Genomic DNA, 20,618 nt, shown 5'->3' on the forward strand with positions numbered 1-20,618 from the left:
TGTGCTTAAAAATAAGTTTATTAAGAAACAAGTACAGTGCATACAGCTATTCATGTGGGTGCCAGCTCCATCCCCCAGTGACCTCTTCATACGGGCAGAGGGTGGCATGGCAGCTGTGGTGGGCCAGTGGGGCCTACAGCCTTTGCTTGGTCTCATGCAGCAGCTCTTGCCAGTTCTTCTCCATCTCCTCCTTGCAGTTGACGAAGGCATCCTCCAGCCGACGCATGGACTCGGCCAGCGTAGGGTTGGTGCGCATCACCACCATGTCATAGGCCATCCAGGTCGCCTGCACTGCAACAAGCAGACAGGACTGGTCAGGCCACAGGGAGGGGCTGCAGCTCTGGGGTGCCCCAGAAGGGTCAGATGCCTCCAGCTGGGCTCAGCATCTGGAGGCCCAGATCCTGCTGAGGCACCCAATTACTCTAGGGAGAGACAGCTGGTAGGCTACTTGTTACAGGCTCATAAAAACTCCCTACAAACATCCATAGTGACGCTTCCTAGTCTCATGCAAGGCATAACTTCTGGATACACCAGACATGATGTAAAAAACTAGAGGCTGGTCTGATACGAAATGTGAGGAGAATTAGAGCAAACCGCAGCTCCTTACCTACAAGCAGTTCACAGCCAATGGCTGCAGGTGACCCCTAAGGAGTCATCCACCCAAGCTCACACACTCAGGTAGAGTTGATTGTTTCCAGTCCTGCAAGACCCAAACCTCATGTCACCTTATGTTCAGTGGCCTGGGATGCCTGCCCACCTCCACCTGGGCACCTCTATGCTTTCGTTGAGGCCCAGGCCTGGGGCTTCTCCTCTTGGGAAGGTGTCCTTGACCATCTACCAATGCACTGATGGGCTCTCTTGCTCTTTCCCTCTGACAGCAACTCGAAGGTAGCATTCCCTGGGCCTATAGGTGAACACATGCTTCTTGTGTGAACTCAAAGAAGTGTGTGCAGAAATCCCACCTCCAACTTTTTCTCTGCATAGTCCACCGGCTGGTGTGGTTCAGCCCTCTGCAACTATACAGAACAAAGGTCATCTCCCCTCTGCATGACAACCAACTGTACATAGCAAACACATCCCCTTAAAATTCCTCTTTGTGGAATCCTCACAAGCATCCCAGATCGTTCCGGTGCAGGGAGGCCGCAGACTACCTGGACAGCAGGTGCAGCAGGGACCTGGGGCCAGAGCAGAGTACGCCTCCCAGCTCCCCACCTGACGACTCTGTGACCTGGAACAAGTGTCTGCAATGTATCAATCTCGGCCGGGTGCGGTGGCTCACGCCTGTAATCCCAGCACTTTGGGAGGCCAAGGGGGGTAGATCACGAGATCAAGAGATTGAGACCATCCTGGCCAACATGGCCAGTGTTCCTGGCCCATCTCTACTAAAAATATAAAAATTAGCCGGGTGTGGTGGTGGGTGCCTGTAGTCCCAGCTACTAGAGAGGCTGAGGCAGGAGAATCGCTTGAACCCAGAAGGTGGAGGTTATATATACATAAATCTCAGTCTCCTCATCTTTGGAGACCCTACCAATCTCATGGCTTACTGTGAGAATTAAATGGGTGATATATGTAAACTGCCTGGCACACATGTTATGGACTGAATGTGTCCCTCCCACATTCACCTGTTGAAATCCTAACCCCCGACGTGATGGTATTAGGAGGTCGGGTCTTTTGGAGATGATTAGGTCCTAAGGGTAGACCCTCCTGAATGGGATTAGCACCCCTTAAAGAAGAGACACAAGAGCTCACTCTCACTCTATGCAAGGATATGTGAGGCTCTATGTGAGGATACAAGAAGGTGGCTGGCCGGGCAAGGTGGCTGGTACCTATAATCCCAGCACTTTGGGAGGCTGAGGTGGGTGGATCACTTGAGCTCAGAAGTTTGAGATCAGACTGGGCAACATGTTGAAACCCTGTCTTTACAGAAAATACAAAATTTAGCTGGGCATGGTGGTGTGCACCTGTAGTTGCAACTACTCAGGAGGCTGAGATGAAAAAAAGGATCCCTTGAGCCTGGGAGGTGGAGGTTGCAGTGAGCCAAGATTGCACTACTGCACTCCAGTTTGGGTGACAGAGTATGACCCTGTCTCAAAATAAATAAATAAATAAATAAAATCCCAAAGTGCTGGGATTACAGGCCACTGCGCCCAGCCATAACGTTTTTTTGAGTGCAAATTAAATCATTGTTTCTTGGCTACAATAATCCTCTAGAGAGGACCAGATTGTAACTTTTCCTCATATTTTTCGTTGGTGCCCTAATGGAATAGGTTCCTTTTTCTGTTCTAATGCACAAATTACTCTTATAATTGTCAAACTTATCTCCCCTCATTTTGCTTCCAAGGAAACTAAAATCATGGTATTCTGCAGATGACCAAAGATATGAATCTCCCTCATTTGGCATCGCACTGGGCCCGGATCTGTTACACTGCAAATGCCCTGCTGCTAAAACGATACAAACACCCTCCCTCTATGCCCAGGGACTATCACAGAAGAGAGAGTCTCGCTCCGTCACCCAGGCTGCAGTGCAATGGTATGATCTCGGCTCACTGCAAGTTCCGTCTCCTGGGTTCAAGTGATTCTCCTGCCTCAGCCTCCTGAGTAGCTGGGATTCCAGGCATCCACCAACACGCCCAGCTAATTTTTGTATTTTTATTAGAGATGGAGTTTCACCATATTGCCCAGGCTGGTCTCAAACTCCTGACCTTGTGATCCTCCTGCCTCGGCTTCCCAAAGTGCTGGGTTTACAGGTGTGAGCCACCGTGCCCAGCCTGTAGCAGATTTATATAAAAATGCAATATGCGGCTGGGTGCGGTGGCTCATTCCTGTAATCCCAGCACTTCGGGAGGCCAAGGCAGGCAGATTATGAGGTCAAGAGATTGAGACCATCCTGGCTAACACGGGGAAACTCCATCTCTACTAAAAATACAAAAAAAATTAGCCATGCATGGTGGCGGGCACCTGTAGTCCCAGCTACTCGGGAGGCTGAGGCAGGAGAATGGCGTGAACCCGGGAGGCAGAGCTTGCAGTGAGCCGAGATTGTGCCACTGCACTCCAGCCTGGGCAACAGAGCGCGACTCTGTCTCAAAAAAAAAAAAAAAGCAATACGCAGCGTAGGTCATTTGGCATGCCAGATGGGTTAGGATTAAATGTTAAAAAGGAATACGGAGAAAAGTAGAAGAAAATACAACTAAATATTTCACTGATCTCAGATTGAGGAAAGACTTTCTAGGTGTCAAAATAATGGCAATAAATCAGAAAGGAAAATATTGATAGATTTTTCACTACATAAAACTGTTTGCTGGCTGGGCGTGGTGGCTCACGCGTGTAATCCCAGCACTTCAGGAGGCCAAGGCAGGTGGATCACCTGAGGTTAGGAGTTTGAGACCAGCCTGGCCAAAATGGTGAAACTTCGTCTCTACTAAAAATACAAAAATTAGCTGGGCATGGTGGCAGGCGCCTGTAATCCCACCTACCCAGGAGGCTGAGGCAGGGGAATCACTTGAACCCGAGAGGCGGAGGTTGCAGTGAGCTGAGATCACATCATTGCATTCAAGCCTGGACGACAGAGCAAGACTCCGTCTCAAAAAAAAAAAAAAAAAAAGGCCAGGCGCGGTGGCTCACACCTGTAATCCCAGGACTTTGGGAGGCTGAGGCGGGCAGATCACAAGGTCAGGAGATCAAGACTATCCTGGCCAACATGGTGAAACCCTGTCTCTATTAAAAATACAAGGCCAGGCGCGGTGGTTTACGCCTGTAATCCCAGCACTTTGGGAGGCCGAGACGGGCGGATCACGAGGTCAGGAGATCAAGACCATCCTGGCTAACACAGTGAAACCCCGTCTCTACTAAAAATACAAAAAATTAGCCAGGCGTGGTGGCGGGCGCCTGTAGTCCCAGCTACTCGGGAGGCTGAGGCAGGAGAATGGCATGAACCCGGGAGGCGGAGCTTGCAGTGAGCCGAGATCACGCCACTGTACTCCAGCCTGGGCGACAGAGCGAGACTCTGTCTTAAAATAAATAAATAAATAAATAAAACCAAGCTGTGCTCTGACCACCTTGGGCACATGTCATTAGGACCCCCTGAGGCTGTGTCACAGATAAGTGTCCCCAAACTTGGCAAAATAAACTCTCTAAATTAACTGATACGTGTCTCAGCTATTCATAGTTCAAAAGTACATAGGCAAAAAATTGCAAACATTTCTAAGGAGAAATTTTCTAAAGTCTGCTCTAGTGAATAAAAGCTATTTGGCCAGGCACGCTGGCTCATACCTGTAATCCCAACACTTTGGGAGGCCAAGGTGGGTGTATTGCTTGGCCAAAGTTGGTTCAAGCCGTGAGGAGAAGGAGAAATTGGGTATGCCTCGTTATACCTGCCTCTCTTTTGGAATTCAGGAAAAGGTGACTAGCATTAACATGAACACAGACCTTAAGTTTGATAAGAAAGCTTTTTACAATCTATTCCCTCTGAAGCCTGCTACCCGGAGGCTTCATCTGCATGATAAAACTCTGGTCTCCACAACCCCTTACCGTCATAACCCAGACATTCCTTTCTATTGATTCCAGGTCTTTAGACCATAACTCTTTCAACCAATTGCCAATCAGAAAAAATTTAAATCTATCTATAACCTGGAATCATCCCCCTTTGAGTTGTCCCACCTTTCCAGATCGAACCAATGTACATCTTTTTTTTTTTTTTTTTTGAGACAGAGTCTCACTCTGTCGCCCAGGCTGGAGTGCAGTGGCACCATCTCGGCTCACTGCAAGCTCCACCTCCCGGGTTCATGCCATTCTCCTGCCTCAGCCTCCCGAGTAGCTGGGACTACAGGTGCCTGCCACCACACCCAGCTAATTTTTTGTATTTTTAGTAGAGACGAGGTTTTACTGTGTTAGCCAGGATGGTCTCGATCTCCTGACCTCGTGATCCACCCGTCTCGGCCTCCCAAAGTGCTGGGATTACAGGAGTGAGCCACCGCGCCCGGCCGAACCAGTGTACATCTTACAGGTACTGACTGATGTATTCTCTCTCCCTAAAATGTATAAAAGCAAGCTGTACCCTGCCAACCTTGAACATATGTCCTGAGGACCTCCTGAGGCTGTGTCACAGGTGCATCTTTAACCTTGGCAAAATAAACTTTCTAAATTGATTGAGACCTGTCTCAGATACTTTTGGGTTCACACATCCTACCTGAGATTTTCTCCATCTCTTCTAATAGCTTTTCCAAGTCCTTATTCAGATCTGACAGCATTTTCAGCATGTTGTCATAGTTTCTTTCCTCAGGGTCAGCATCATCCATCTAGGCAATGCACAGAAAGAAGCTGCAGTCAGACAGACCTACATTTCAAATCCAGCTCCACTGGTTATAACTCAGTGATTTCTCTAAGGAATTCTTTCCCCATCTCTCAGATTCAGACAATACCACGTACTCCACAGGGCTGTTGTGAAGGTTAAATGGGAACATGTCTAAAGGCCCCAGCATAGCATTCGGCACATATAAGTTGTCCTTCCCCTTTCTTCCATCTTTGCCATACAAACGTAGCTGAAGGCTGGAGTCATTAACACAGAAAACATCTTCATTATAATGAAAAAAGTCTGTCATAATGGTGACATGGAATTTTTTCTTGCAAAACCATATTGAGTACCCACTAAGATGCAAGCTATTGTGCTGATGTGTTTCAAAGATACAATTCCTGTACCTAAGGAATTTCTAGTGCAATATGGGAGTAAGTCACACACACCATATGACAAACCAGGATGTGACAGATGTCGAAGCAGTTAATGTAATAATTACAGACATCAAGCGATGGGAGCCTGGAGGCGGGTACGTTTAATTTTAAAATATGAAATGATTCATACATTAAAAAAAATTATAATCAACTTAACTTTCCAGAAGAATTCTCCTGGGCATTAGAGGCAGTGCCCCATAGAGACTGTCCTGGTTCTGGAATTGAGCTGCCTGGGTTCAAATCTTGGCGCTACCTCATATCAGCAGTGTTACTTTTGGCAACTTACACATCTTCTCGACAAATTTTTGGTAATTTTTTTGAGTTTTTTTTTTTTTTTTGAGACGAAGTTTTGCTCTTGTTGCCCAGGCTGGAGCACAGTGGCACGATCTCGGCTCACCACAACCTCTGCTTCCTGGGTTCAAGTGATTCTCCTGCCTCAGCCTCCTGAGTAGCTGGGATTACAGGCAAGTGCCACCACGCCCGGCTAATTTTGTATTTTTAGTAGAGATGGGGTTTCTCCATGTTGGCCAGGCTGGTCTCAAACTCCTGACCTCAGGTGATCTATCCACCTCGGCCTCCCAAAGTGCTGAGATTACAGATGTGAGCCACCACACCCAGCCAAGTTTTGTATTTTTTAAACGGGAATTATTAGTATTACCTATATCTTGTGGAGTTTTGTGAGGATTAATTGAAATAAATTATATACTGTTCAGCACAGTACCTACCGTAATGAGCACTTAATAAATCATATCCGTTGTTATTTAAAATGTTGAACAGTAATTACATCACTCCAGATCCTCTCCTCACCTTTATTAATATACATTAATTCATTCTGTTAATATTTGATGCTCACCTATTTATCTACAAGGCACTAGTAAGAAAAGAGAGAAATAGATAAATAATGTAAGAGCTGCCAGGGAACTTGTAACCTCATGAAGGTGAAGGAATGAGCCAGGTAAGCATAAAACAGGGAGGGATGGGCCACAGATGCTGCGGTATTGTTCCCACTGTACATGTGGGGAAAGCCTTCCTGGTCTTTACTTCAGAGTTAAGGGCCTCCACTCAGTTCTCCTGTGACTTCCTGGGCCTCCCTCATCACGGTGCCTCTTAGCTGGTATTGTGATTGTGGATTCCTCTACCTCCCCAACTAGACTGTGGGGTCCTGGAAAGCAGAGGCCATCTTTCCAATGAACTATTCCTAGTGTTCAGCTCAGAGCTAGGAAAACAGCAAGTGCTTAATAAATGTTGGCTGAATAAAGGAGTTGACCATTGTAAAGCTCTAATTCTGAAAGAAAATCATGATCGTGGCCAAGCGCGGAGGCTCATGCCTGTAATCCCAACACTTTGGGAGGCCGAGGTGGGTGGATCACCTGAGGTCAGGAGTTTGGGACCAGCCTGGCCAACATGGTGAAACCCAGTCTCTACTAAAAATATAAAAATTAGCCGGGTGTGGCGGCAGGTGCCTAATCCCAGCTACTGGGATTACTGGGGAGGCTGAGGCAGGAGAATCGCTTGAACCCGGGAGGTGGAGGTTGCAGTGAGCCGAGATTGTGCCATTGCACTCCAGTCTGGGTGACAAGAGCGAAACTTCATCTCAAAAAAAAAAAAGAAAGAAAATTATTATCTTTCCCCTCTTGCCGTCCTCCCTGTTAAGGGTAGAGATTCTGAGGGAGGAGCAAAGGGCCCTCCAGGAGGCCTGACAGGCAGATCTGAGAATGAGGGTGCAGGGTCAGGGTGTATGGTCTTTCGGGATCTGTAAAGGAGGTACTTCTGTGGGCATGGAGCCATTCCACGTGCAGGGACTCCGTCCTGCTTTTTGGTAAGTAGGAATAGTTTGCTAAGAGTAAGTGGGGAGGTACAGGCAGGTGGCAGGGCAGGGGGCTAATAGTGGGTGATGGGAGGAAGAAATGTCCAGAACACCTTCCTTAACCCTCTCCTATAGCTATTCCCTCTCCTTCCTTTAGCAGCCAGGCCTCACACGTTTGTCTGTCCTCCTCACTCCACTGTCATCTGGCATCTGTCTCTGACATTCACTGACAATGCTCTCACCAAAGTCATAACTGGCACACCCAGGGCACTTTCTGTCTTTCTTTTATTTAACATCTCTGCAGCACTGACATTTGGCCATTTTCTCCTGCTCAAAATTCTCTTCTCTTGATGTTTTAACCTTGTTCTCTCCAAACTCTGTCCACCTGTGGTAGTTCCTTCCCTGCTCTTTCTTGGCTCTCTCCTTTACTGGCTCTAATGGGTCAAGGAAGGTCCTTTTAGCCCCTTCTCTTCTCACTACACACTCTTTTTTTTTTTTTCTTGAGACGGAGTCTCACTCTGTTGCCCAGGCTGGAGTGCAGTGGCGTCATATCGGCTCACCACAACCTCCGCCTCCCAGGTTCAAGCAATTCTCCTGCCTCAGCCTTCCAAGTAGCTGGGATTACAGGTGCCCGCCACCATGCCCAGATAATTTTTGTATTTTTAGTAGAGACGGGGTTTCGCCATATTGGCCAGGCTGGTCTCAAACTCCTGAACCTCAGGTGATCCGCCTGCTTCGGCCTCCCAAGTCCTGGGATTACAGGTGTGAGCCACTATGCCTGGCCAGAACTTCGATTTTTATTCTGAATGAGATGAGGAAACACTGGAAAAATCTGACAAAGGTGATGTGATTTGAATAATGACTTAAAAGGATCACTCTGGCTTCTGTGTTGAGAATAGACTAAGGGGTGGAAAGCATGGAACAGGGACATCATTTAGGAGGCAGCTGCAAAACTCCAGGTAAGGAATGATGAGGCTTGGACCAGAGTGTTAGAAGTGGAGGTAGCCGCCAGGCTTAGTCGGTCATGCCTGTAATCCCAGCACTTTGGAAGGCAGAGGCGGGGGATCACAAGGTCAGGAGTTCGAGACCCGCCTGGCCAATATGGCAAAACCCCATCTCTACTAAAAATACAAAAATTAGCTGGGCATGGTGACGGGCGCCTGTAGTCCCAGCTACTCAGGAGGCTGAGGCAGAAGAATCCCTTGAACCCAGAAGGTGGAGGTTGCAGTGAGCCGAGATCATGCCACTGCACTCCAGCCTGGGTGACAGAGCAACACTCTGTTCCAAAAAAACAAAAACAAAAATAAATAAAAAGTAACCACTGGATTTGACAATCTGGAGGTCACACTGGCAATCTTGACAGGAGCTGTTTTCATGGAGTGGCTGGAACAAGAGCCCAATCGAAATGTTTCTAAAGAGAGGGAAGGAGAAGTAGAAACTGGTGAGTTTTACTTCAAAGAGAAGCAGAGAAACATGCCAGTACCTGGAATGTAATGTAGAGTCACAGGGGTATTTTATTTTAAGTTGGGAGATATTACACCAGTGTCAAAGATTACAGTATTTGGGCATGGCAGGCCCAGGCATGGTAGCTCATGCCTGGAATCCCAGTGCTTTGGGAGGCTAAAGCAGGAGAAATGCTTGAAGCCAGGAGTTTCAGACCAGCCCGGGCAACAGTCTCTACAAAAAAATTTAAAAATAGCTGGGTGTGGTGGTGCGCACCTCCAGTCCTAGTTACTCAGGAGGGTGAGGTGGGACAATTGTGCCACAGCACTCTAGACTAGGCTACAGAGGAAGATCTGGAAGATCCCCTCTGCAAAATGAAAAAAAGGGCTCAGTAAATTCAAGATATTTGATTTGGGTGTCACTGGTCAACTCGGTGAGACGTTTCAGGAGAGCCATAAAAGTAAAAATATTTCATGAATTAAATAATTAATGGATCATTAGACAAAATGGATTGTGTGTACAGATTTAGATGGGAAGGGGAGAAAAAAACAGGAGGTAACTAGAAGGTGATACAGAGTCAAGGTTTTTTGTTTTTTGAATTCTTCGTTTCTAGGCTGTGTGGAAAGAGCTACCTGGACAGAAAAGCCTGAAGAATCAGAAGAAAGGGCAACTGATGGTGCAGGGACTGGTCTCAGACAAGTAAGGGGTCATTTCACCCTATGAAGGTAAGGGAAGGTAAGGAGGTAGAGATAGAATAAGGTAGGTAGAGGTCAAGGTAGGATGGCAAGGGGGGGATTTCAGGCCCGATGGTCTCTAACTCCCTAATAAATGGCAATGAAAAGTTTCTTCTTGTAACAACAGACATTCTTGGTTTGAGGAGAACGATAAAGCTTTATCAAAGCTGCATGCCTCCCTAGGGGCACCTAGGCATGTGACTGAGGCCACATGGCCACAGTGTCCTCAGGACCCTAAGACGGCACAGAGACAGTGGATGGAGTGTAGAAGGCCTGGGAACGTAAACATACATGCAGTGGATGGACAAGGTAAGGACACTGAGAGCACAAGTATGAGAGTGGCTTAAGGGGTGGTTGATGGTTGGGGTGAAGCAGAGGCATAGAAAAGACATGTAGTTTCTATAAGTGGGGCGTTGGGGTGGCCACAGGTAGATTTGGGGATAGAGCATGAGACTGCTAGAAGGATGGAGGCTGGGCCGGAGTGGCACTGGATCTCAGAAGAGGGATGGATCTGAAAAGGAGATCCAGGGAGAGGGTGTGAGAGCTGATGTGGAGGAAGCAGCCACAGGATTAGAATTCACGGCATTTCTTGCCTAATGAGGTTGCCTGGGATGACTGGGAACGGGTGGAGAAAGAGGCCTGAGCCCGCACCAAAGCACAATGGAACGGAGCTTAGGATGGGTGGCGGAAGTGTGGGGCGGGAGGAGCGTGGGGCGGGAGGAGTGTGGGGCGGGAGCGTGGGGCGGGAGTGTAGGGTCTGGCTTGGGTATCACTTTAGGTGTGAAGGACGGGGGTTGAGCGAGTCAGAGCCTAGAGTCTGGTTTGTGGTCTGAGTGTCTTGCCTGGTACGAAGAGTTTCTAACAGAGTCTGGGATCCCTCTGAGAACAAGGAATGTGAGGGGATAAGAGGGATGCTTGGTGCAGAGATGTGCTCTTTTGTACGGGATGAGAGCAGCACAGGAAGGGAATGCACCTGTGATGTGGGAGAGAAGTCTTGGAGTTGGGCTATGAAGAGTCTGGGCGGGTCCTGAAGTGCAGGTGGAGGAAGCCAGAGGTGCGTGTGGGAACTTGGGGTGTGAGGTGGTGTGTGGACTCCGGGGTCCCAGGTGTGGCAGGTGTGAGGGTAAGAGGGGCAGGCTGCACGGAATGAGAAGCCCAGGGTGTGCAGACTTCAGGATCAGGAGTGTATGGTGTGAGGACATGGAGATTAGGTTAAGGGGGTGAAGGACTGAGGTGAGGGATGTAAGGTGGGGAGAGTGGGGTATGGAGTGTGCAGTGAGGGGAGCGGGGGAGGGGTGAGGCGGGGTGAGGCGGGGTGAGGAGGGGTGAGGGGTGAGGCGGGGTGAGGGGTGAGGCGGGGTGAGGGGTGAGGCTGGGTGAGGAGGCGGGTGAACGGTGACGTGAGCGATGAGGGGTGAGGGGCGAGGCGGGTGAGGCGGGGTAAGGAGGGGTGAGGCGGGGTGAGGGGTGAAGGGTGAGGCGGGGTGAGGGGTGAAGGGTGAGGCGGGGTGAGGGGTGAGGGGTGAGGCGGGGTGAGGGGTGAAGGGTGAGGCGGGGTGAGGGGTGAAGGGTGAGGCGGGGTGAGGGGTGAGGCGGGGTGAGGGGTGAGGCGGGGTGAGGGGTGAGGGGTGAGGCGGGGTGAGGAGGGGTGAGGGGTGAGGGGCGAGGCGGGTGAGGCGGGGTGAGGAGGGGTGAGGGGTGAGGCGGGATGAGGGGTGAGGGGTGAGGCGGGATGAGGGGTGAGGGGTGAGGCGGGGTGAGGGGTGAGGCGGGGTGAGGGGTGAGGGGCGAGGCTGGGTGAGGAGGCGGGTGAGCGGTGACGTGAGCGATGAGGGGTGAAGGGTGAGGCGGGGTGAGGGGCGTCGGGGGAGGGGCATGGGGTGTGGAGTGAGTGGAGTCGGGTGAGTGGAGTTGGGTCGAAGTCAAGGGTCTGGCTTGAGGTTGGTGCCACCGCGAACGCTAGGACAGGGTCAGGCGGAGCCCAGCCGTCAGGGCGCGTTGGGAGGGCCGGGGCCCAGGGGGGCGCGGCCTCGCTCACCTCCAGCTTGGCCCGCGCTCCGGTCCTGCTCTGGCGCCCCCAGCGGCCGCTTGAGGAACAAGGCCGCTCCTCGAGAGGGATGCCCCGCCCTTTCCGTTAGCGAACCCTCCCCGGAAGTGACCTCTCGCCCTCATTGGGTGTCCTCGGGAAAAGGGGCGGGGCATTCCGCGCTGCTCCCACAGGTCTGCGGCGTCCGAGTCTGGGACTGGCAGGTGCGGTGCTGGGGACGTCCTGAGGTTGAGGGAGAATCCTGCGGAGATGAAGAGCTTCCCGGCCTGACAGTTTTGCCCCCACCTCCTTCTTGAGCTTAAGGATTTATACGCAGGGCCCCGTTTGCCTGCTGTGTCCCCAGTGTCCAGGACAGCGCCCGGTACCAAAGGTGCTGGTAAACATTTGTCGAATGAGTCGCTGAACGCCCAGCTATTTCCACTGTCACAGCGATCATGTGTGGCGGACATTATGTGGCATGTATCTTACAGAGGAGGCAGCCCGGGCTCAGGGAGACGAGGCAGAGGTGCACGCAGGTCTATGTGGGCTGGAAAGTGCTGGGGCCTCCCGGGCGCTCCTGGTCTCCAGGCAAGAACTGGAAGCAGAGCCACTCAACACCTAGAAGGGCAGTGACAGAAAGCTCTGGCTGGGAGGAGGCTGACCAGAGGCCAGTCTGAGCTCAGCCTTTTTTTTCAGAGGGACGTGGGCACCCTAGAAGGGTGGTAAGTAGGCGAGTGGCAGAGTTAAAAGGTCTCTGGCTGCCGAGGCGGGTGGCGACGGGGCCGGCCGTTGCTGTTGTTTGGCTGAGTGGTGGACAGGGTCAAAGCCATTCCAAGGTCGACTTGACAGGGCTTGGTAATGTGGGAGGGAGGGAGAAAGAAGCAAGGGGCTAATGGCCGGGGTGATACCACTGGCAGAGATGTGGAAGAGTGGGAGAAGCTAGCTTGGAAGGTTAACTTTGATTTTGAACACCTTGTGTTTGAGAATCCTGACAAACCTTAGACCCCCTGAATTTTCTCTCAGGGATTCTGATTCTTAGCAGCCTGATTGCAGAGGAGGAAAAATGGCTGGGGTTGAGCCAGACAGTTCTGGGCAAGGAGTGAGCATTCGCTTGTTTATTGAGGAGGCTGCTGCCTGGGCCACACTCCCTCCGCCAGCTGCCAGGTTCCTGCCCCGGTTGAACCCGGTTTTCTGGCCATCCCTTTCCACCTGTGAGCTGCTCTTCATACTTCCATTTGCTTATACAGCCCAGAGCCGATTTCTGTTACAGCAGCCCAGAGAAACATGAATAGGGAATAATTCTTTTTTTTTTTTTTTGAGACGGAGTCTTGCTCTGTTGCCCAGGCTGGAGTGCAGTGGCACGATCTCGGCTCACTGCAACCTCCGCCTCCCAGGTTCAAGTGATTCTCCTGCCTCAGCCTCCCTAGTAGCTGGGATTACAAGCACATGCCACAACGCCCAGCTAGTTTTTGTATTTTTAGTAGAGACCGGGTTTCGCTATGTTGGCCAGGCTGGTCTCGAACTCCTGTCCTCAGGTGATCCACCCGCCTCGGACTCCCAAAGTGCTGGGATTACAGGTGTGAGCCACTGTGCTTGGCCCGAATCAGGAATAATTCTGATGGCTAAGGAAGACAGCTTCCGAGAGAGTAGGAGAAAGGGCACAGGATTCCAGGCAGAAGGCCCATCTAGGGCAAAGGCGAAGGTGTGGCTCAGCCTGCCTCCTTTGGGGAATGGCGAGTGTGTTCTGGGCTCAGGGTTCTTGGTAAGGGACAGAGAAGACTCGGGAAAGATCAGTTGAGCTGGAATGTGCAGGCTCTTGAGTACCCTGCTCAGGAGCTGGAGGTGGGCTACCCTGCAAACTCCAGGCCATGAAGCCCAGGAAGATGTCAGGCTGGTCTTCCCATGCCCTTGTGTATCTGAGACCAACTGTCACTAAATGTTTCCTTTACGCCCTGGACACACAGCTAGACTCTACTTCTCAGATTCTCTTGAAATACAAGTCTTTAGCCAGAGGGTGTGGAGGGAAATGCTGTGTATCACTTTGAGGTTGAGGCCATCAAAGCCTCCCACAGGTGGCCCCCTCTTTCTCTCCCCACGTACTTATGATGTTGATGCCCAAGGCAGCTTGAGTACTACCTGCTGAAGGCAGGGCCTCTGTCACCATAGATCCTTGAATAACAGTATGGAGCAGAGCCCTCATCTCAGCCAACTGGATTTTATCTGACCAACAGTCCAGCTTCTATTGGGTTGAGCCATGAGGTTTCAGGATTTATGTTATGGCTGCTAGCTTTTATTAATGCAGACCTGCAGACCTATGGGACATGGGGAACTAATTGGGGTTTGGGTTGTCATCAGAGGTTTATTTATTTTTTTAAGACAGGGTGTTGCTCTGTCACCTAGGCTGGAATGCAGTGGGTCAATCATGGCTCACTGCAGCCTCAATCTCTCAGGCTCAAGTAATCCTCCCAACTCAGCCTCCAGAGTAGCTGGGGCCACAGGCAAGTGCCACCACGCCTGGCTAATTTTTTTTTTTTAATTTTGTAGAGATGGGGTCTCACTGCACCACCCAGGCTGGTCTCGAACTCCTGGGCTCAAGACCTCCCAAAGCACAGGCATTACAGGCGTGAGCTACCATGCCCAGCAGTCTCCAGAGGTTTATACCCTGGTTTACCACTGTTGTTCCTCATCTCACTATTTTAACCCAGAACAAATGAGATAAAAGAACTTTAATGCTGAATTTTGATGTTAATTGAAAGCTAGCTTGTTGGAAACTCTGTTTACTGCTATCTCAGGACGGGGTGAGCTGATGTCCCCAGAAGACTACCAAAACGCAGGCACCTTCCCAGGGGAGGCTTACTGGCACCCAAACAGGTAGAGGTCTCTGGAAATACTTTTGGAAGCTGAAGAACGCTCTGATATGGAATGTAACATTTTGCAGGCAGAGGTGTACTCTTTTTTTTTTTTTTTTTTTGAGACAGAGTCTCGGTCTCCCAGGCTGGAGTACAGTGGCACCATCTTAGCTCACTGCAACCTCCATCTCCTGGGTTCAAGCGATTCTCCTGCCTCAGCCTCCTGAGTAGCTGGGACTACAGGCACGTGCCACCACACCCGGCTAATTTTTGTATTTTTAGTAGAGGCAGGGTTTTGCTGTATTAGCCAGGATGGTCTCGATCTCCTGACCTCGTGATCTGCCCGCCTCGGCCTCCCAAAGTGCTGGGATTACAGGTGTGAGCCACCGCGCCCGGCCCCAAGAGGCATACTCTTATAGCTCATGAAGACTTGAAGGAGGTGAGGAGCCTCTGCCCTGGGAATCCTCTCATGCACTTTCAAGGTTTTAACTGTCTTCAAAACTGTTAGAAGGAGCCTAGATCTCTCCTTAGCTTTTCATTTATATTTTCAAGAGTCTGAGACATTTTCACAGCTATTTCTTATAGGCAAGTCAAATTCAACATTTAAAGACCTAATTTAATCACCCAATCACCCAATATAGAAAATATGAGTTATCTTTGATTCCTCCTGATTAGACTTGTCAGTCCTACGTTTGACATTCCAAGCTCCTTAATTCTACTTTCCTATGGCACTGCCTTAGTTTAAGCCGCTCATTTCTTCCAGCTCCACCACCACCAGGAGCACTTCTCCAGCGGGTCTCCTTGCTTCCACTGTTACTGCGTCCTACTTTGTTCTAACGCCACCCTGGTTAGCCAGTGATCCCTTAAAATTAGGACAGATTATGCCACCCTCTGTTCAAAGCCCAACAGCTTCCCCCGTCATTCAGAAAATCCAGAATCTGGCCTACGAGGCCCTTGTTACCCCGATCTAGCTGCCCCGCTTGCTCTTCCCATCCCTGACTCCACACTAGCCACATCCTTCATCACAGCAGACACCGCTCGCAAAGCTTTGGCTCTTGCTGTTCCTTCAGCCAGGAATACTCTGCCCTTAGGTACGGAACATGAGGGACATGAGGGACATGACTTGCTCCTCGTCTCCTTCAGGCCTGTGGTCAAAGGACCCCAATCAGGAAGGCTTGCTTTTGCCACTGTCTGAAATTGCCACCCACCTCTCCTTTTGTCTCTCCACTTACTTTTCCTCTTTTTTTTTTTTTGAGACGGAGTCTTGCTCTGTCGCCCAGGCTGGAGTGCAGTGGCGCGATCTTGGCTCACTGCAAGCTCCACCTCCCAGGTTCACGCCATTCTCCTGCCTCAGCCTCTCCCAGTAGCTGGGACTACAAGCACCCACCACCACACCTGGCTAATTTTTTGTATTTTTAGTAGAGACAGGGTTTCACCGTGGTCTTGATCTCCTGACCTTGTGATCCACCTGCCTTGGCCTCCCAAAGTGCTGAGATTACAAGCGTGAGCCACTGCGCCCAGCCCATGGTGTCTTATAAGTGTCTTATATAAGGGTACCATTTTTTTTTTTTTTGAGACGGAGTCTCGCTCTGTTGCCCAGGCTGGAGTGCAGTGGTGCCATCTTGGCTCAGTGCAAGCTCCGCCTCCTGGGTTCACGCCATCCTCCTGCCTCAGCCTCCCAAGCAGCTAGGACTACGGGCGCCCGCCACCATGCCTGGCTAGTTTTTGTATTTTGTTTAGTAGAGACACTGTTTCACCGTGTTAGCCAGGATGGTCTCGATCTTCTGACCTCGTGATCCACCTGCCTCGGCCTCCCAAGGTGCTGGGATCACAGGCGTGAGCCACTGCACCTGGCCATAAGGGTGCCATTTTTAATCTTTTATATAACATTTTTACTATACCTTTTCTATGTTTAGACAAGTTTAGATACACAAAGACTTCCCATTGTATTACAGTTGCCTACAGTATTCAGTATGGTAACATGTTGTAAAGGCATGCGGCCTAGGAGCAACAGGGTAAGCAGCATAGCCCAGGTCTGTAGTAGGCTGCACCATCTACCTTTGTGTAAATGCACTCTAGAATCTTTGCACAACAAAATCGCCTAACAATGCACTTCTCAGAATGTATCCCCTTCATTAAGCAACCCATGCCTGTACTTGGTAAGTGGATTATCCCAAAAGCCTCCTGGTTTCCTGCCAGCTGCTCTGTCCCCTGACCACACCTGCCTCACCCAGCAGTGAATTCGACATGGGCAGGAATAGGACCTTGTTTACCACTGAATCCCCAGCACAGGGCCAAGTCTATGGTGGGTGTTCAACAGACACTGGTTCCTGGCCGGGCACGGTGGCTCACGCCTGAAATCCTAGCACTTTGGAAAGTCGAGGTGGGAGGATCACTTAAGCTCAGGAGTTCGAGACCAGCCTGGGCAACATAGTGAGACCCTATCTCATGGGAAAAAAAAGAAAAAAACAAAAACAGATGAAGACACTGGTTCCTAAATGAAGGTCCAGAACTGAATCTAATTCACTTCAATTACAGTAATTGAGGGCCTACTTATACTTTTCATAAAAATTATTTTTTATGGCTGGGTGCGGTGGCTCACACCTATAATCCCTGCACGTTGGGAGGCTGAGGCAGGTGGATCACCTGAGGTCAGGAATTCGAGACCAGCCTGGCCAACATGGTAAAACCCTGCCTCTACTAAAAATACAAAAAATTAGCCGGGCGTGATGGCGGGCGCCTGTTGTCCCAGCTACTCAGGAGCTGAGGTACGAGAATCGCTTGAACCCAGGAGGCAGAGGTTGTAGTGAGTCGAGATCGTGCCACTGCACTCCAGCCTGGGCAACAAGAGCGAAACTCCGCCTTAAAAACAAAGAATAATTATTTTGTATTTACTCTTAACATGATTTTAGCAGCCGAGCCAACCTCAGTGAAGGAGTGTCTGTTGCTACAGGTCATCCTGCGTGCCCTCTTGCAGACATGACCACCTGGCGCCTCAAGACTTCAGGCCTGGGCCTGCAGCCCCTTTCCATGCTGACAAGAAGCTGCGGGGCCCGTGCAGGGTTGTGCCTCAGCCAAGAGGGGTGCCTCACACATGCCCCTGCATGGGAGGAGGTGGGCTCACTCTCCAGCAGACAGACAAACAGAAATGGCCCCAGGGAACAGGTGAAGGTTCTGAGGCAAGTATTTATTCCAAGCAAACACGTGGGCGTGGACAGCTATCTCAGAGCCTACGTCACTCAGCAGAGTCACACATTTCAAAGCAGGTCACACAAGTCCCTCATGAACAGTCTTCCAGCTTCAGCCCTTCTCTTGCCACCTCTGTGGTCTGAGCTGGGGGAGGGGGAGGGCCTCCGAGTTCCCAAACAAAACACAGGTACCTAAGGGCTGAGAGAAAATTACACAGCCTTATTTTTATTAGTATCTATCAAGAAAAAAAAAAATCAAAATTCCCTTCCTGCTCCAACCCCACCTCCACCACCTGGGCCCTCAGGGAGCAGCATCTGCCCAGCGAGGACCTGCTGCCGGAGCTGTCCTTGGAGCCTGGGCACCTGTGCACGGCCACCCCTCATGCCTGTGAGCTGCCACAGGTCCCTTCCTCCACAGTGTGGGGACGAAAGGGCAGCTGGCATTTCTCCAACCTTCAGCTGTAGGCCTTGGGAACTTGGAAAAGATCAGCAATGTCCAGCAGGGCTTTGCGGATGTGGTTTCCAAAGCGCTGGGCGTTCTGTGGGAGCCAAGAGTTCAGATGCACCTTCAGATATGTACCCACCCCTCTGTTCCCACAAGCAAGGATGCCTCCCCAGCCAAAGACACCTGTGTTCCTGGGCAGCCCCAGGTGGCACCCCTTCCTCAGGCCTGAGCTGTGGCAGGAGACTCACCGTCTCTGAGCTTGAGAACTTGCTGGAGATGTGGAAGAAGATCGTGTTCTCGCCTGCAATCATGTAGGAAACTCCATAGCCATCATCTGCTACCTGAGGGCAACAAGAAGGGTGAAGAAGGCATAAATCAAACCTTGAAGATCTGAAAGCCAAGCTGATATTGTACTTGTTCTTCCCACAAGAGTTGCAGGAACGGGCCCCAGCCCTAGACACTGCATTTTTCCTGAGGACCACCCCCAGGAAACTGTGAAAACCAAAGAATGCTGCCCAGACCCCGCCAAGGGATCTGGGACCTCCCAGTTTCCCTCAGGGGGCTTATTCTCTAGATCACTCCGTCTCTCTCCAGAGGGTTCTCTAGCCTTCTGACAAGCTAGCCCATGTGAAGGTTTCTGTGGGAGACAGCTGCACTCTCTTGGATAAGTAGACTTCAGAAGCACCCAGTGCACTGCCCAGTACCCTGGAAACCAGCCCCACAGTCATGCTTCAGTACCCCGGAAACCACGGTCATGCTTCAGCAGGGAGGTATTTGGGATGGGTGGGTCCCAGGTGCTTGGCTGCCTGAGTCCATAGCTAACATTCTGCTTCCATGCAGGTCTGGGGTTATGCTCTCCTCTAAGCAAGGTGCTCCTGCCTCTCGTCTGACCTCAGGGCCTGCACTCGCCACTGAAACCCTCAGGGCCCTGGTGCTGCCCACCCACCCCCTTCAGGAGCACTCACAGGGCCAAAGCCACCTCCAGCGCCCAGGTGATTGGGGTGCTGCTCTGGGTCGAACATGCGGATCTGGGATTGGGGGATCTGGCTGGTGGAGAGACGCCAGGGTTCCGAGAGCACCTGCAATGGAGGCCACAGCTGGTCAGAGGCCACATACCCAAAGCACCTGTCCAACACGTGGTGTCTGCGACCTACTCTGAGCCAGACACGGTTCTGCTGAGGGTGCAGGAGCTCCCTGGCCACCACCCCGTGGTCCCCTGTGCATCATGCCACATAAGGCTTGTGTGAGCTGCCCAGCCCTCCCTCTGCTCTGCCTCTCCCCCACATAGCCTCACTAGTCTCAGTAGTGCTGTCACCACCTGACAGATCATATATTTGTCTGTTCCCTGTCACAAGGACACCAACACCACAAAGAGGATGTTGCTCCTGCTCAGTCCCAGGACCACAGGCCCAGGTGGGGTGTGGGCGGGAAAGCTGGCCCAGCACTCCAGGGAGCTTCAGGGGAGCAAGCCAGGAAAACAGGCCGTGCTCCATCATGAGATGGCCCAAGCCCTGCGTGTAGGAGGGCAGTGGGACAAAGGACACACCCAACAACGGTGCTGACCTCAGCAAGGAAAGGAGAGCTGACTCCTAGGTACTTGGAGACCAAGTAAAGGCAGAAGAGGTGCCTGTCGATCCCTGCCCCGGTCATGGCCAGGCGGTACATATTCTGGTGCTTCTTAGCAGCCTTCTGGAAGAGATCTCGCAGGTCTGCTTTCTGCGGGGCAGAAGTAAAGGGGTGAAGAGTAGCCCTGGCCCTCCAGGCAGACAGGAGGCAGAGGGGGCACCTCACCCGACGACTGTGACCCCCACATGGGCAGAGGACACTTACTGTGTGGGACCCCTCCATCATGGCCTGCACAAAGGCTGTGGACTCGCTGGTACAGGAACGCACAGTCTCAGTCCGTCCCTCCCGGAACATTCTGGTCATTGAGGCCTCATAGGTCAGGCAGAACTTACCCCTGTCCTGGGATATACAGAGGGGTGAATCTGGCAGGTGGACCCTGGTACCACCCTGCCCTCTCAGCAGCGGGAGGCGGGGCTCCTACCCGGAAGTGAGCCAGCTGCAGCGCGATCTGCACAAAGGCATCAGGGCTGGTCCGGCACTTCTTGATGAGGCCTTTGCCAAAGGGCAGGAACTGGAAGCAGTACAACTCCACGTCGTCTGCCAACGCCTTGGCCACCTGGTAGGAACTCTCGATGACCGCCTGGCACTGCCAAGACATGGGAAGGGTCAGCTGAGGGTAGGGCTCTCCAAGCAGGACTCTGGGTCATGTCTAGGAGGCATGACGTTTAGCTGGTGGAGAAAGGGCACAGCCGGCCAAGACATCTTCAGGAGGAGGGTACGCAAAAGACAGTCTGAGGGAGAATCAGCCCCCAGAGGCCGGGCTCAGCTTTGTGGGT

The 20,618-nt window shown here is 51.3% G+C and overlaps 2 protein-coding genes and 2 long non-coding RNA genes across 10 annotated transcripts in view, besides 3 other annotated features; 1 reads left to right on the forward strand and 3 right to left on the reverse strand.

The window, feature by feature from the left end:
* On the reverse strand, positions 1-11,808 carry SYCE3 (synaptonemal complex central element protein 3). Of its 2 annotated transcripts, none has more exons than NM_001123225.3 (3): positions 11,747-11,808; positions 5,186-5,294; positions 1-291 (listed from the first exon to the last, which is right to left on the reverse strand). In NM_001123225.3, the coding sequence occupies exons 2-3, from the start codon at positions 5,292-5,294 to the stop codon at positions 134-136; spliced, it is 267 nt and encodes an 88-aa protein (NP_001116697.1). In that variant the 5' UTR covers positions 11,747-11,808; the 3' UTR covers positions 1-133. The 2 variants fall into 2 exon arrangements, with proteins under 2 accessions (NP_001116697.1, XP_024308029.1); XM_024452261.2 differs by lacking the exon at positions 11,747-11,808 and adding an exon at positions 10,682-10,967.
* Positions 10,231-10,429: a silencer, noted in NCBI's record as "fragment chr22:50999771-50999969 (GRCh37/hg19 assembly coordinates)". NCBI's record gives its function as "represses an EF-1alpha promoter that drives an FKBP-Casp9 reporter gene in an ReSE screen in both phorbol 12-myristate 13-acetate-treated (for megakaryocytic differentiation) and untreated K562 erythroleukemia cells {active_cell/tissue: K562 | K562(+PMA)}" and the evidence as "EXISTENCE:reporter gene assay evidence [ECO:0000049][PMID:32094911]".
* Positions 11,500-11,909: a silencer, noted in NCBI's record as "silent region_13997". NCBI's record gives its function as "represses an Ori minimal core promoter by ATAC-STARR-seq in GM12878 lymphoblastoid cells {active_cell/tissue: GM12878}" and the evidence as "EXISTENCE:reporter gene assay evidence [ECO:0000049][PMID:35858748]".
* Positions 11,850-18,032, forward strand: LOC107985568 (uncharacterized). Its single transcript, XR_001755606.3, has 2 exons — positions 11,850-12,456; positions 17,496-18,032. It is a non-coding gene; the product is annotated as an uncharacterized LOC107985568 (long non-coding RNA).
* The window catches only part of CHKB-CPT1B (CHKB-CPT1B readthrough (NMD candidate)), a 14,139-nt gene continuing 11,270 nt past the window's right edge, over positions 17,750-20,618 (reverse strand). The window contains exons 24-30 of the long non-coding RNA NR_027928.2: positions 20,264-20,428; positions 20,047-20,176; positions 19,780-19,932; positions 19,182-19,295; positions 18,465-18,557; positions 18,056-18,310; positions 17,750-17,970 (exon numbers count right to left, since the gene is read on the reverse strand). This is a non-coding gene — a long non-coding RNA (CHKB-CPT1B readthrough (NMD candidate)). The remainder of the gene's footprint in view (positions 17,971-18,055; positions 18,311-18,464; positions 18,558-19,181; positions 19,296-19,779; positions 19,933-20,046; positions 20,177-20,263; positions 20,429-20,618) is intronic.
* Positions 17,750-20,618, reverse strand: part of CPT1B (carnitine palmitoyltransferase 1B) — a 9,752-nt gene continuing 6,883 nt past the window's right edge. For 4 of the 6 annotated variants that reach the window (NM_001145134.2, NM_001145135.2, NM_152246.3 and 1 more), the window contains 7 exons: positions 20,264-20,428; positions 20,047-20,181; positions 19,780-19,932; positions 19,182-19,295; positions 18,465-18,557; positions 18,225-18,310; positions 17,750-17,970 (listed from right to left, as the gene is read on the reverse strand). In NM_001145134.2, coding sequence (NP_001138606.1) covers positions 18,227-18,310; positions 18,465-18,557; positions 19,182-19,295; positions 19,780-19,932; positions 20,047-20,181; positions 20,264-20,428 — 744 coding nt within the window. In that variant the 3' untranslated portion in view covers positions 17,750-17,970; positions 18,225-18,226. Of the gene's footprint in view, positions 18,311-18,464; positions 18,558-19,181; positions 19,296-19,779; positions 19,933-20,046; positions 20,182-20,263; positions 20,429-20,618 lie in introns of all 6 variants that reach the window. The other 2 variants (NM_152245.3, NM_004377.4) reach the window with 1 other exon arrangement.
* Positions 19,054-19,123: an enhancer, noted in NCBI's record as "active region_19331". NCBI's record gives its function as "activates an Ori minimal core promoter by ATAC-STARR-seq in GM12878 lymphoblastoid cells {active_cell/tissue: GM12878}" and the evidence as "EXISTENCE:reporter gene assay evidence [ECO:0000049][PMID:35858748]".

The sequence above is a fragment of the Homo sapiens genome, chromosome 22 (genome assembly GCF_000001405.40).
Source record: "Homo sapiens chromosome 22, GRCh38.p14 Primary Assembly".
NCBI lineage: Eukaryota > Metazoa > Chordata > Mammalia > Primates > Hominidae > Homo > Homo sapiens.

Excerpts from the sequence above, each read along its gene's own strand:
- SYCE3 (NM_001123225.3), bottom strand. The coding sequence starts at position 5,294 with ATGGATGATGCTGACCCTGAGGAAAGAAACTATGACAACATGCTGAAA. Across the intron at positions 292-5,185 it reads AGAGATGGAGAAAATCTCAG|TGCAGGCGACCTGGATGGCC; the intron begins GTAGGATGTGTG and ends TGCTTGTTGCAG.